At 39.5% G+C, this 14,170-nt stretch overlaps 1 protein-coding gene across 17 annotated transcripts in view; it reads left to right on the forward strand.

The window, feature by feature from the left end:
• Positions 1-14,170, forward strand: part of CENPI (centromere protein I) — an 83,656-nt gene that overhangs the window by 21,740 nt on the left and 47,746 nt on the right. For all 17 annotated transcript variants that reach the window (XM_017029383.2, XM_047441951.1, XM_047441955.1 and 14 more), the window contains 9 exons: positions 459-507; positions 795-841; positions 6,766-6,855; positions 7,195-7,323; positions 7,555-7,722; positions 8,773-8,893; positions 10,039-10,130; positions 12,247-12,364; positions 12,449-12,513. In XM_017029383.2, the coding sequence (XP_016884872.1) occupies positions 459-507; positions 795-841; positions 6,766-6,855; positions 7,195-7,323; positions 7,555-7,722; positions 8,773-8,893; positions 10,039-10,130; positions 12,247-12,364; positions 12,449-12,513 (879 nt within the window). The remainder of the gene's footprint in view (positions 1-458; positions 508-794; positions 842-6,765; positions 6,856-7,194; positions 7,324-7,554; positions 7,723-8,772; positions 8,894-10,038; positions 10,131-12,246; positions 12,365-12,448; positions 12,514-14,170) is intronic.

The following is a 14,170-nucleotide window of genomic DNA, read 5'->3' on the forward strand; positions in this document are numbered from 1 at the left end:
CAGGAGTTAGAGACCAGCCTGGGCAACATAGTGAGACCTTGTCTCCACCAACTAACAATACACATACATAAAAATATTGAAAGGAATAACAAAAATTCATGCATTCCTTTCAATATTTGTATGAATTTAGTAACTAAATACATACATGCAAATATTGAAAGGAATACATTAATTTTTGTTAGGTAGGAGGATGATAGGTAATTCTGTTTTTCAAATTGTCTGCAATACCTTTACATTCCAAAAATAACTAAAAAATGACCTAATGAAATGCTGATTAAAACTATTGTTTTTTTATCACTATACAGTAGGAAAAAGAGACTCTTTGTAAAACTATTGTTCAGTGAAGTCCTGAAGGTTTTTTACTTAATCAGCGTAAGATTGACATTTGAGGAAAATGTGTTGCCCCTCTGTTCAAGACATATTATCATTTCTCTTAATATTTTTTTATGTTTTAACAGTGCCCTTATGTTTGCCATTTGTTATATTTACTTACCAAAAAAGAGAATGGTGAGTATTTTCATTACAGTTGTATTATACTTTGTAGAATTAGCATTTGTATTGGCCTTTATAAAGTTAAAATAACTATTAGCATTAGTTATATGACAGAAGTCATTTTGTGGAAATTGCTTTTTAGTACTTTAAGAGCATCTGCTTAATGGCTTAACTGAACAGGTATTTATTTCCTTGATATGTTACAAGAAGAAACTGTATGAATTGCATGGTGGTTAAATATAACCAATTTCTTTTTATTCTGAATCCAAATGCATAGTACGTCTTTCCTTTATGTTTTCTAGTCAAACCATTTCGTGTGAGAAAACTGCTTGATCTTCAGGCCAAAATGGTGAGTACTGAAAAGACCTAAGACCTGCCAATGTACTATGTGCCAGGTACTGAGCCAGGCATTGGGAATACAAAATCAAATAACTCTTGATCTTTTTTTTTTTTTTTTTGAGACAGGGTCTCACTCTGTTGCCCAGACTGGAGTGCAGTGGCATGATCTTGGCTCACTGCAACCTCCGCCTCCCAGGTTCAAGCGATTCTCCTGCCTTACCCTCCCGAGTAGCTGGGATTATAGGCACGCGTCACCACACCCGGCTAACTTTTGTGTTTTTTGGTAGAGACAGGGTTTCACCATGTTGGCCAGGCTGGTCTGGAACTCCTGGCCTCGGTGATCCACCCGCCTCGGCCTCCCAAGGTTCTGGGATTACAGGCGTAAGCCACCGCGCCTGGCCTATCACTCATTATCTTTAAGGAACTTATTTTCTGGGGAGCTCAGTGAACAAAATGAAAAATCAGAATCAGACTTGGGGTCAAGGAGAAGTGGTGATGCTTGAGAGAATTATTTATTTTATTTTTATTTTATAGATGGAGTTTCACTCTTTTCGCCCAGGCTGGAGTGCAGTGGGGTGTAATCTCAGCTCACTGCAACCTCCGCCTCCTGGGTTCAAGCAATTCTCCTGCCTAAGCCTCCTGAGTAACTGGGATTACAGGCGCCCACCACCATGCCTGGCTAATTTTTTGTATTTTTAGTAGAGACGGGGTTTCATGTTGGCCAGGCTGGTCTCGAACTCTTGACCTCAGGTGATCTGCCTGCCTCGGCCTCCCAAAGTGCAGGGATTACAGGCATGAACCACTGCACCCGGCCTGCTTGAGAGAATTTTTAAGGGATGAATAGGATTTAAGTAGGCAAAGAAGGGAGAGAAGGGCATTCCTCCCAGAGGGAACAGCATGAGCAAAGACATGGAGATGTCAAACAGCAAACATTGTTTAGGGAGCTGGGTTGGTATGGCTGGAACAGTAAGTGTTAGGGAGTGGTCATAAATGAATTTATATTTTGTACGGATGTGATCTAGGAAAGCTTTTTTTTTTTTTTTTTTGAGATGGAGTTTACCTCTGTTGCCTAGGCTGGAGTGCAGTGGTGCGATCTCAGCTCACTGCAACCTCTGTCTCCCGGGTTCAAGCGATTCTCCTGCCTCAGCCTCCCGAGTAGCTGGAACTACAGGCGCGCACCACCACGCCAGGCTAATTTTTTATATTTTTAGTAGAGATGGTGGTCTCATCATGTTGGCCAGGCTGGTCTCGAACTCCTGACCTCAGGTTATCCATCTGCCTTGGCCTCCCAAAGTGCTGGGATTACAGGTGTGAGCCGCTGAGTCTGGCCTAGGAAAGCATTTTAAGACATTATCTTCTGGATGCTTAAACTTCAGTATATTCTCTGACTGTTATCTCTGGTCCTTACAGCTCTCTGCATTGTTATTTCCACTTTACCTGCCAGGTAACAGAAGTCTGTGAAGCTCTGGATATGAAACAATGGAAGTAATAGTGGTCATGTCTAACTGGAGCTTTCATGGCCTACCTATAGGCATTTATTGAATGAAAGACACAAACACAGAACACATTTGTGCTTCTCCAATGTGAGGTCTCCTCTTAGTGCAGTTCAATGATTATTCTTTTTTTGTAGCCTTCTGTTTTAGTTCCATGGGTACGATTATTTTTTCTTAGTTCTCTGAAGATATTAATGGTAATATTTTTGTCCAATTTGAATTTTATTTCACATTAATAGAAATTATGAAAAAAATGTACCTTTTCCCATGTTACAGCAAAACATTTCAATGGAATAAGACAATTCTTACCATAATAAAAGATCTTAGTACCCAGGTGCAGTGGCTCACACCTGTAATCCCAGCACTTTGGGAGGCCGAGGCGGGCAGATCACGAGGTCAGGAGTTCGAGACCATCTTGGCCAACATGGTGAAACCCCGTCTCTACTAAAAATACAAAAAATAGCTGGGCGTGATGGTGGGCACCTGCAATCCCAGCTACTTGGGAGGCTGAGGCAGGAGAATTGTTTGAAACCGGGAGGCGGAGGTTGCAGTGAGCTGAGATCACGCCAGCCTGGGCGACAGGGCAAGACTCCGTCTCCAAAAAAACAAACAAACAAACAAACAAACAAAAGATCTTGCTGATTTGTTTTGTATTAGCTGAAACACAGTGTATGTTCAAGTAAAAAATGATTTATGAGATGATTGTCTAAAAATTTATAACGGAGACACTAAATGTCTGGTTTCATTACTACCACTCTATACAGTACATCACTAAATTATTCCATTGTCAGTAAGTACCCATTTATAAAGATGCATACATAACATTGTTTTGATTAGCTGAATTTTGATGAATTTGGGTAAGTCCAACAATATCAAACCAAGAAGGCATAGCTATGTTCATATGTAACCTAACATGCATGATAGTAACAGGCATAGTCAACATATGTGAGGAAATACATTGGATGTGCGAATTTCTGATACCTGCAAAGGCATATATCCCGTCTATCCCCCTCCATGCCCCATAGCTCCCAATCTATGAAGGAAACAAAACCACAAAAATTGTATTTCTGGTAGCAGACATGAATAGTAGGAAGTGGGGCATTTTCCTACATACACTAGGCCCTGTCCAGAGCAATCTTTAGAACAAGAAGGGGGAATTAGGTCTCATCCTAAGGGTTGGTTCTCCCTCTACCGGGCATGAGCCTGTGTGTATGCACTTTGGGCTGTGATTTTTTTCTGTTTCAAGCTTTGTCTCTGTTTCCTCATAGTTTCTGTTTTTAGATTGTTTGGTCTTTTATGATACTTTTTAAATTTAAATTTTATTTTAATTTTTTTTAGAGACGGGGGTCTCACTTTGTCACCCAGGCTGGAGTGCAGTGGCATGATCATGGCTCACTGCCACCGTGAATTCCTGGGCTCAAGCGATCCTCCCTCCTCAGCCTCTGGAGTAGCTGGGACTACAGGCATGCACCACCAGGCCTGGCTGATTTTTAAATTTTTTGTAGAGACAGGGTCTCTCTATGTCACCCATGCTGGTCTCAAACTCTTGGGCTCAAGCAATCCTCCCGCCTTGGCCTCCCAAAGTGCTGGGATTACAGGTGTGAGCCACTGCTCACCAATGCTTGGTAAAGCTTATTTGTTCATATTTAAAAGTAAAACACTAACATGATGATTGGAAACTTGTGTGTATGAGCAGGACTTGTTCATTGTAGGATCTTGATGTTTTGTTGAGGATCCTCCCAGATGACTATGTTAATATTCTCAAAACAGAATTCTCCTGTTTCCTGTCTTATGTGGTTGCACGGTTGTACATATAGAATCAAGTGTGTGTGTGTGTGTGTGTGTGTGTGTGTGTGTGTGTGTGTGTGTATTTATAATATTATAGGGAATTGGCTCATTTGATTTTTTTATGGTGGCTGGTAAGTCCAAAATCTACCGGATGGGCCAGCAGGCTGGAGACCCAGGAGGGCCAATGTTCCAGTTTGAGTTAAGTGGCAGTCTACTATAGAACCAGGAAGAACTGCTGTTGCAAATAAAGTCTGAAGGCAGTCTGTTGGACATTTTCTTCTTCTTCTGGGACCTCTTCTATTCAGGCTGTCAACTGATTGGATGAGACCTATCCACATTGCGGAGGGCAGTCAATTTGCTTTATTCAAAGTCTACTGATTTAAATGTTAAACATATCTAAAAAACCCTCACAGAAACACCCAAAATAATGTTTCTCCAAATATCTGGGCAGCCTGTGGACCAGCCAAATCAACACTTAAAATTAACCATCTGATATGGTTTGGCTGTGTCTCCACCCAAATCTCATCTTGAATTATAATTCCCATAATCCCCACATGTCGTGGGAGGGACCCAATGGGAGGTAGTTGAATCATGGGGGCGGTTTCCCCCATGCTATTCTTGTGATAGTGAGTGAGTTCTCACGAGATCTGATGGTTTTATAAGGGGCTTCCCCTTCGCCCAGCTCTAATTCTTTTCCTTCCTGCCATCGTGTGAAGAAGGATGTGTTTGCTTCCCCTTCCGCCATGTTTGTAAGTTTCCTGAGGCCACCCTAGCCACGTGGAACTGTGAGTCAGTTAAACCTCTTTCCTTTATAAATGACCCAGTCTTGGGCAGTTCTTTATAGCAGTGTTAGAGTGGGCTAATACATCATCACAGGGTGTAAACCTGGCTACTGGCACTCTGAGACCTGAGCACTAGAAAGGGGTGAGAAATGGTCTTGGTATCCTCCCTTGGCTGTGCCTGGTATCCGAGTCCAGCTTCATTTTCAGAGTAAAGCCCTAATGTTTTGCCAGTATAGTGAAGGAATTTGGGGTTCTAACTGCTTCTTATGTAGCCTTTCATGCAATACTCCTGTTTTCTTGTCCCTTTTGCATCCCCACTTTTTAGAGATATGTGGTCCCTCAACTCTTGATCCTTTCTGGGAGTTGTCAAGCATGAATCTGATTTTTTTGAGGCTTTTTCTGTTGATACCTTAGATTTCATTTTATCTATTCTGCTAACTTGGTTACTATTTGACCATCTTCATTCTAGGTTCCAAAATCTTATTTAGATTTCTCATATGCTGTTATCTCCTCTCTTGTTCTCTTTGAACTTGTGCTTTGCTTTATCCTTTTTCATTCTTCTTTTATTTATTTATTGGAGATGGAGTCTCACTCCATCACCTAGGCTGGAGTACAGTGATGCGATCTCAGCTCACTGCTACCTCTGCCTCCCAGGTTCAAGCCATTCTCCTGCCTCAGCTTCCCGAGTAGCTGGGACTACAGGTGTGCACCATCACAGCCGGCCTAATTTTTGTATTTTTAGTAGAGATGGGGTTTCACCATGTTGGCCAGGCTGGTCTCAAACTTCTGACCTCAAGTGATACACCCACTTCGGCCTTCCAAAGTGCTGGGATTACAGGCATGAGCTACCGTGCCCAGCCACCTTTTTCATTCTTTTACTGTCTTTTAAATGGGGCTTTGGGAGAACCCAGAATTAATCATATGTTCGATATGCCATTTTTAACTGGAAATCTCCCCCTTACCTTTTTTAGTATTAACTTTTTAACAAAAAAGATAGTTTTAATTAACTAGACTATAAGTTCTAAAGGCCTCAGCACAACTAAGTATTCTCTAAAAAGCATTCTAGCTCAAAACAAACACTCTGATACTCATTAATAATGGGTGTACAGAGGTTAGGAGATATTTTCAACATAGATAAACTGGGTCATTTTGGTTTTGTTTTAATAAATTTAATTTCAAGAAGCTGTTATAAAATGGAAATATTGTATTTCTAAGCCTCATTTGCTGCCTTTGTGCAGTATTCGATTCAATAAAATTTTAGTATAATAAAACAATTTGGTTACTTCCTTAGAATTCATTTTAGTGGTGTGTTTTCTCTGGATAGCCAGATGTATAAAACAGGTATCTAGCAGTAATCACATCTTTCGTTGTGAAATTAGTGCTTTTGTTAAGACTTGTTTCAGTTATATCAAAGCTGCTTGATTATGGCATACCAATTGTAATTTCCTAGATAATTTTCCAAGAATTATAATAATCAGGTATTAGCTTCTCTTCTGGTCCTGTCTCCTTGAGGTCTAAATCAAGGATGAGTAAACTTTGAGTCCTGAGTATGCTACCAGTGAGAATAAGCTATGCTATGCTAGTAAGTATGACTGGTCAGCCTAAGGTATAGGAAGAGAAGAGAAAAATACAAGGAAGAAGTAAAGTTGGAAAAGGTCCTAAGAGAGAAGATCACAGTTTGGAGAGGGTTGTTTTATGGTGGTTGACTTAAATGTCTGGTTACTCATTCCTTGATTTTTGATAGCATCTTCCTATAGCTATATCTCAGCGAAATTATGGTCTGAATATACTTTTTTCCTTCTTATTGGTATTTGTTTCCTCAGTTTCTTAATAGCCACAGAATTGAAAATGGAAAACTTATTTTATTTCAGGGAATGCAGCCTCATCTCCAGGCTTTGTTGTCACTGTATAAGTTCTTTGCTCCTGCTCTGATTTCAGTATCTTTGCCTGTAAGGAAGAAGGTAAGGGATTAAGGAGAGAGAAATCATATTAAGATTGAAATATGTTATTTTTGGTAAAGTTAACTTACAGATTTCAACTAAAATGTTTACAGCCTACTGTTTTACTGTCTAGTATTGTGGTACTGTTTTGGGAAAGTTTTTTTTTAGGAATTGGTACTTCGTGTTGATCCCATTTGGTATATTTAATAGATTACTAATCAGAAAAAAAAATACTTTAAGTGCATTTGTATGGGTGTAAAGGATTTCATAATATATTTTCAATTAATGAGGCATTTTAGACTTTATGTTGCTTCAGTTTATGGGTACCTACTCTCTTGTACTTTATATCCAAATTTATAGATATATTTTAAGAATTCAGAGAATCTATGGAAGACGGCTCTGCTTGCCGTGAAGCAAAGAAACCGGGGACCTTCTCCAGAACCTCTGAAGTTGATGTTAGGTCCAGCTAATGTTCGTCCTCTAAAAAGAGTAAGTATCTAAAGCTCAAACAACTTGCATGGCTTTCTTTTATTAAATCCAAATAATAACCATTCAGATCTTAGAGGAGATTATAGATATTTAAGTATATGTCAGTTACCCAGGATTCTGTGTAAGCCATATTCAGATTCCTTTAATTGAAACACCTTACCAGTTGCTTTTATATTTGTGGTTTGTAGTCTGTTTAGTCCATTGATAGATTATTTTATTATCTTTCTTCAGAAGTGGAATTCTCTCTCAGTTATACCAGTGCTCAATTCCAGTAGCTACACTAAAGAATGTGGAAAAAAAGAGATGAGTCTTTCTGATTGTCTGAATAGAAGTGGATCATTTCCACTAGAACAACTTCAAAGCTTCCCCCAACTTTTACAGAACATCCATTGCTTAGAGGTATGTGACTGGACCATGTGCTTCTTTGCATTTTCTATTTGAATTTCATGGCCTTTGTTTTTTTGTTTGTTTGTTTGTTTTGTTTTTTTGAGATAGGGTCTTACCTGTCACCCAGGCAGTGGTGTGATCATGGCTCACTGCTGCCTTGAACTCCTGGGCTTATGTGATCCTCCCACCTCAACCTTCTAAGTAGCTGGGACTACAGATGTGCATCACCACGCCTGGCTAATTTTTAAAACAATTTATATCAGGCTGGGCACGGTGGCTCATGCCGGTAATCCCAGCACTTTGGGAGGCCGAGGTGGGCGGATCACTTGAGGTCAGGAGTTCAAGACCAGCCTGGCCAAAATGGTGAAACTCCATCTCTATTAAAAAATACAAAAATTGGGCTGGGCGCGGTGGCTCACACTTGTAATCCCAGCACTTTAGGATGCTGAGGCGGGCAGATCACCTGAGGTTGGGAGTTCGGGACCAGCCTGACCAACATGGAGAAACCCCACCTCTACTAAAAATCTAAATTTAGCTGGGCGTGGTGGCACATGCCTGTAATCCCAGCCATTTGGGAGGCTAAGCAGGAGAATTGCTTGAACCTGGGAGGCGGAGGTTGCAGTGAGCCGAGATCGCGCCATTGCACTCCAGCCTGGGCAACAAGAGCGAAACTCTGTCTCAAAATAAAAAAAAAATTAACCGGGCTTGGTGGTGCATGCCTGTGGTTCCAGCTACTCAAGAGGCTGAGGCACGAGAATCGCTTGAACCTGGGAGGCAGAGGTTGCACTGAGCTGAGATGGAGCAACTGCTCTCCAGCCTGGGTGACAGAGCGAGACTCCATCTCAAAACAAAACAAAAAAAAATTATTTTAAAAATATATTGCTCAGTCTGGCCTCAAACTCCTAGGCTCAAGTGATCCTCCTGCCTCAGCCTCCCAAAGTGTTGGGATTATAGGCATGAGCCACCATGCCCAGCCTATTTTTGTTATATATTTTCTATATGACGATTCCCTTATCCACTTTTCAGATACTTAACTGTTGATCGGTTGTTCTGTCATTGCAGCTGCCTTCTCAGATGGGCTCAGTGCTAAACAACTCTCTGCTGCTTCACTACATTAACTGTGTCAGAGATGAGCCAGTCTTGCTGAGGTTTTATTACTGGTTGAGTCAAACATTACAAGAAGGTAAGAATTGAGTGAGGATGGACCAAGATAGTTAACAAATGGGTTTCTTTTATAAGGGTGCCAAATTCTAGACAGCAGGAGCCTTCATATGCTGTAATTATGTCTGTGGTAATCTTATATTTAGAGCATGAATGTTTCTGTTGTAATTTTAAGGCAGTAAGAAGGTAGAGGGATTTTGTTAAGGAAACACTGCTAGATGGCCACCAAAACTCACTGGGTGGCTCCACTTTGATGACTATCACAATCCAAGGATTCTTCATCTTTGTATGTTCAGAAACTTGCTGTTAGGGCCCCAGAATCATCCTGTTAATGGTAACGAAACTCAGAAGAGACAAATGTACAAGCCAGAATGTCAGCTTATTATAAAATTAATTATTTCTGGTAAGCGAAATGCTCATATCTGCCAACTAGAGTATCCCCTCTGCTATCAGCATATATGGGAGCCAAATTTGTCATTAGAAGATTTCTTAATTATAGAATTAAAGGAAAGGGCAGTGAGAAGTCTTTCATCCAAGCCATAGTAAAGCCTGAGCATTTCATTCCTCCAATGGTGGGGGTCGGTGGGGAGGGGCGGGTATATTTCTCTAGAGATAATATTTCTTTTGACCAAATTTGAGTGTTTCTTTACTGGATACTGGATAAGCAACTCCTGATTCTTCTGGTGGTTAAAGTTGCTTTTAGTTGGTTCCAGGCCAATTCTTCTTCTTCTTCTCTGAATCTTTTAAACAGAATATGATATAGTTTATTAGATTTCCATGTACTAAATTTGTATCACTCTTACATTATACCCAGCATACTCTAATTGAAGTTTAGGGTATTCTAAAACTTTCAATTCAGATGTTTGTACTTTCTTGGATTGCTATGTGATATAAAGCTTATCATATTCATTATATGTGAATTCTCTCCATTTCTATAAGCTTTTCCCTATATTTACACTATAAGCTTTTCCCTATATTACCAAGTTGTTGAGGAATATCTCACTATCATCTCCATGTGACTGTTCCAGTCTACATCATGAGTTAGCTAGGATGTATGAGACTTATGGCTTTTTTACTTTGTCACTTGTCACTTTAGTGATAATTATGTTTTGTGCACTTTTTTATTGTGGTACAACTAGATGCTTATATTTACTGTTTCTGCTCTAGAATGTATTTGGTACAAGGTGAATAATTATGAACATGGAAAAGAATTTACCAACTTCCTGGATACCATCATCAGGGCAGAGTGCTTCTTACAAGTAAGATTTCACTTGCTTCTTCCACTCTCCACCACTCTTTACTAAAATTTATTTAGATATCCATTGAAAACCTTTTCTTGCCCGGCTGCGGTGGCTCACACCTGTAATCTCAGCACTTTGGAGGCCAAGGCGGGTGGATCACTTGAGCCCAGGAGTTCAAGACCAGCTTGGGCAACACAGCAAAACCCCATCTCTACAAAGAATACAAAAATTAGCCAGGCATGGTGGCATGCATCTGTAGTCCCAGCTACTCAGGAGGATGAGGTAGGAGGATCACTTGAGCTCAGGAGGTCAAGGCTGCAGTGAGCCGTAATTGTGCCACTGCACTGCAGCCTGGGTTACAGAGTGAGATCCTGTCTCAAAAACAACAACAACAAAAAACCCTTTTTTTTAGTACCTGACATCTTTTGTAAATAATATTTGTTCAGTTTGAAGCTCATTATAGATAAAGCTGAGTTTTATCTTTGCACTGTTAGATTTGAAGAAAGAATATGTTATATTATGCAAATAAAAGGGAAAAGCCTGTAATTTAAGAGAACAAACTGAAGATGTAATTAAATGTATTCAGTTAACTGAATTAGCCAGTAATGTAAATTTCATAGGGTCACTACTTATATTCTTACAATCAACAAACATTTTTTGAGCATCAGATATGTTCCAGCCAATGGACTATTTGGTTTGGGTAACCCTGAGTTGTATTTTAAGCTGCAGCTTGGGTATCAGCACCATCAAGAAGCCTTCACTTATTGCCCAGTGTGGGTTAGCTCCTTGTTCTATGTGCTCCCATGGCTCCCTGTGCTTACCTCTATCGTGACATTTTTAGCATCCACACATTACGAGCTCCCAGCAGGCAGAAACCATGTCTAACTTTTCTTCATGTATAGATGTTCAGCTTGATTGATAAATGTTTGTGGAATAATTCTTTGTTTTTTTTTAGACAAGGTCTTGCTCTGTTGCCCAGGCTGGAGTGTACTGGCACAATCATGGCTTACTGCAGCCTTGACCTCCTGGGCTCAATTGATCCTCCCTGCTCAGTCTAGTTAGTAGCTAGGACTACAGGTGTGCACCACCACTCCTGGCTATTTTTTTGTTTGTGTGTTTGTTTTTTGTATTTTTTTGTAAAAACGGGGATTTACCACGTTGCCCAGGCTGGTCTCAAACTCCTGGGCTTAAGCATTCCTTCTGCCTTGGCTTCCCAAAGTGCTGAGATTATAGGTGTGAGCCATCACACCCAGCCCAAGTTTTAGGGATTTGGTGTGAAACCATTTAATTGGAAGCTGGGTGCAGAGATGGTAGTGAGGATAGCAATTTAGGTTGACGTTTATGTTTCCTACTTGGGAAGATGGATGGCATTCACTGAGAAAAGAAATATAGGAGGAGCAGTCTTGGAAGGAAAGATGTTTCACTTAAGAGATGCCTAATGGGACATCAAAGCGGTCATATCCAGTACGCAGTAAAATAATGAGTCTAGAGCTCAGGAATGAGATTTGAGCTAGAGATACAGATTTAGGACCCCTCATGTTAAAAGTGGTTTTAGCTATGATATGGATGAGATTGTCCAGAGAATTCATGTCATGAAAAGAAGGTCTTAGGATAGAGTCCTGGTGCATGTCACTGTGAAAAGCTTAGGTGACAATGGAAAAAAGGGAAGTCCCAGATCCTCACTCTGGTGGAAATATAAGCAACCTAGACATTTGAGCCTCTAAAGATGGAGCTGCTCAGAGTTGGGATTTGGTCTATGGCCTCTAATGAAATTCTAGCCCTATTACATAATATTGTATACATTTTATTGACTGTTCAAATTACTGCATGTACCCCAAGATAATAAATCTTATTTTTTTAAAAATATTCTATAACTTTTAACTTTCTTTCCAATTGATGAAGTTTTATGGTATTTGAGAACTGTATTGATAAAAATGGTAATGTATGCAAATACTAATCATCTCATCCTTTTTCTGAGGAAGTCTGGCACCTAACTTAAGGCTTTTATTATATTCATGACAAAAAATTAGTCTAAGAGTGAAGCAACTATAGCACAAAATAAACTGGTTGTTTAGAGCATAATTTTATGACTGAAGAGTTCCATATAAGGATTTACTATTCACTTGTGTTACAGGAGGGGTTTTATTCCTGTGAAGCATTCCTGTATAAGAGCCTTCCTCTCTGGGATGGCCTTTGTTGTCGGTCACAGTTCCTTCAGCTTGTGAGCTGGATTCCTTTTAGTAGCTTCTCTGGTATGTATCATGAAAATTTGGAGTCATTTGATTCAACGTACTATGATTGAAAGGATTTTGAATAATCTTTTTTTTGATTCCTAGAGGTGAAACCACTTCTTTTTGACCATCTAGCGCAGCTCTTCTTTACATCAACCATTTATTTCAAGGTAACAAAAACTTGTCTTGCTTAGATTCAATAGGATGTATTATTCTATTGCTAGTGGTACACAATTCCAAACTGATATTACAGCAATGGTTTTATAACAGGATTTTCTTGGACCTGGGCTTTGAGGTACTGCATCACTCAACTCAAAGTTAATGCATAGAATGTTCCTTTTTTAAGGCTGTGTTGCATACAGTTTTCCTGACCTGTTTCCACTTGTAGCAAATGACATAGTGAACGAACAAGTGGCAGATGCATATTAATAAAAACAAACAAACTGAGAAATACTTAGTTTGATTGTTGTGGTTTATATTTTTGTAGATACATTTATTCATTTCACAAATATTTTTTGAGCACCTACTAAATACCCTTCTTGACACTGGGAATATAGTAGTGACCAAAGCAAACAAAACTCCCTGTGACATTCATATTTTATATTTATAGTAATAGTCGTTTTCTGCTAGTAAAATTGTTCCAACCTTATATATAATATGTTACTATTTTGGAGTGGTCTCCAAGAAGACCAATATGGCTTCCAGAAGTTCTACCTGAATGAGTTTGAGAGCCACTTTCTTATAGAATGGTTATTCCTATTCTAGAAGAGGGGCAATTAAGTAATTTTTCTTTTATAACTTTTTTTTTTAACCTTAAATCACTTACTGTTGGCCACATTGACAGGAAACATGTTGTCCTGGTTAGCGTTTGTCGTAATTGAATGGCACTTGATTAATTACCTATCATATTAACTTGGATTTGAGGTCTATTTATGCTAATTGTAACTTTTACATCCTGACCAATATCATCATTCACATGACATCCACACCAATTCTCCCAGCTAATAAGTTTTCAGAGACTTCAGTTTGAATTTTTTTTTTTTTTTTTTTTTGCAATTCTGTCTCAATCTTCTAATTGGGTTATTCTTTGTTTCTTCTCTTATTCTTCCACGCTAAAGAGCTGTTTAAACATTAGGCTGGACCATAGGAAATTGCTATTTTTTGTACGTCAGAGATGGTTAATGATTGGCAGTTGGCTGTGGTTCAACCTAATATGCATATACACATTCAGACACGTATATTTGAGAATGAGAGGGGTGGGGAGAGGAAGGAAGGAAGGAAGGGAACAGACAGCAAGCTAAAAACAGAACTCGGGAATGCACAGTATTTAATTCTCAGGCCAAGAAGGAGGACAGTCTAAAGGAATCTTAAGAAATTGCCAGAAGTATAAAAACAACCAGGAGAATAATAGTTCCAAGGAAACAAAGGGAATATAGGATATCAATAAAGAATGAAGGAATGATGTTGCCAAGTATCCCAGGAAGGTTCAGAAGGATACGGACAAGAAACGTTTCTTTTAGAATTGACAATACAGAGGTTTTGGCTTCCTTTGTGAGTAGTTCCAGTGGAACAACTTCTAGTTGTTAAGGTGGAATATGGAAATATATTCAGGGGAGGTAGAAGTCAGATTGTGTGGGTTGAGGAGTGAGTGAAAAGTCAAGTCAAGACAATGAGTATAGAATATGTTTCAAAATGTTTGACCAATAAAAAGTTGTAGAGAGAGCTGTAGGGGGACTGGCAACCAGGGGAAGTTGTTTGTTTGTTTGTTTTGCCTCTAAAATGAGAGAAACGTGAGTGTGTTTATAGATGGAGTCGAAGGAGCCAGTG

Source organism: Homo sapiens, chromosome X, assembly GCF_000001405.40.
Source record: "Homo sapiens chromosome X, GRCh38.p14 Primary Assembly".
Classification (NCBI taxonomy): Eukaryota; Metazoa; Chordata; class Mammalia; order Primates; family Hominidae; genus Homo; species Homo sapiens.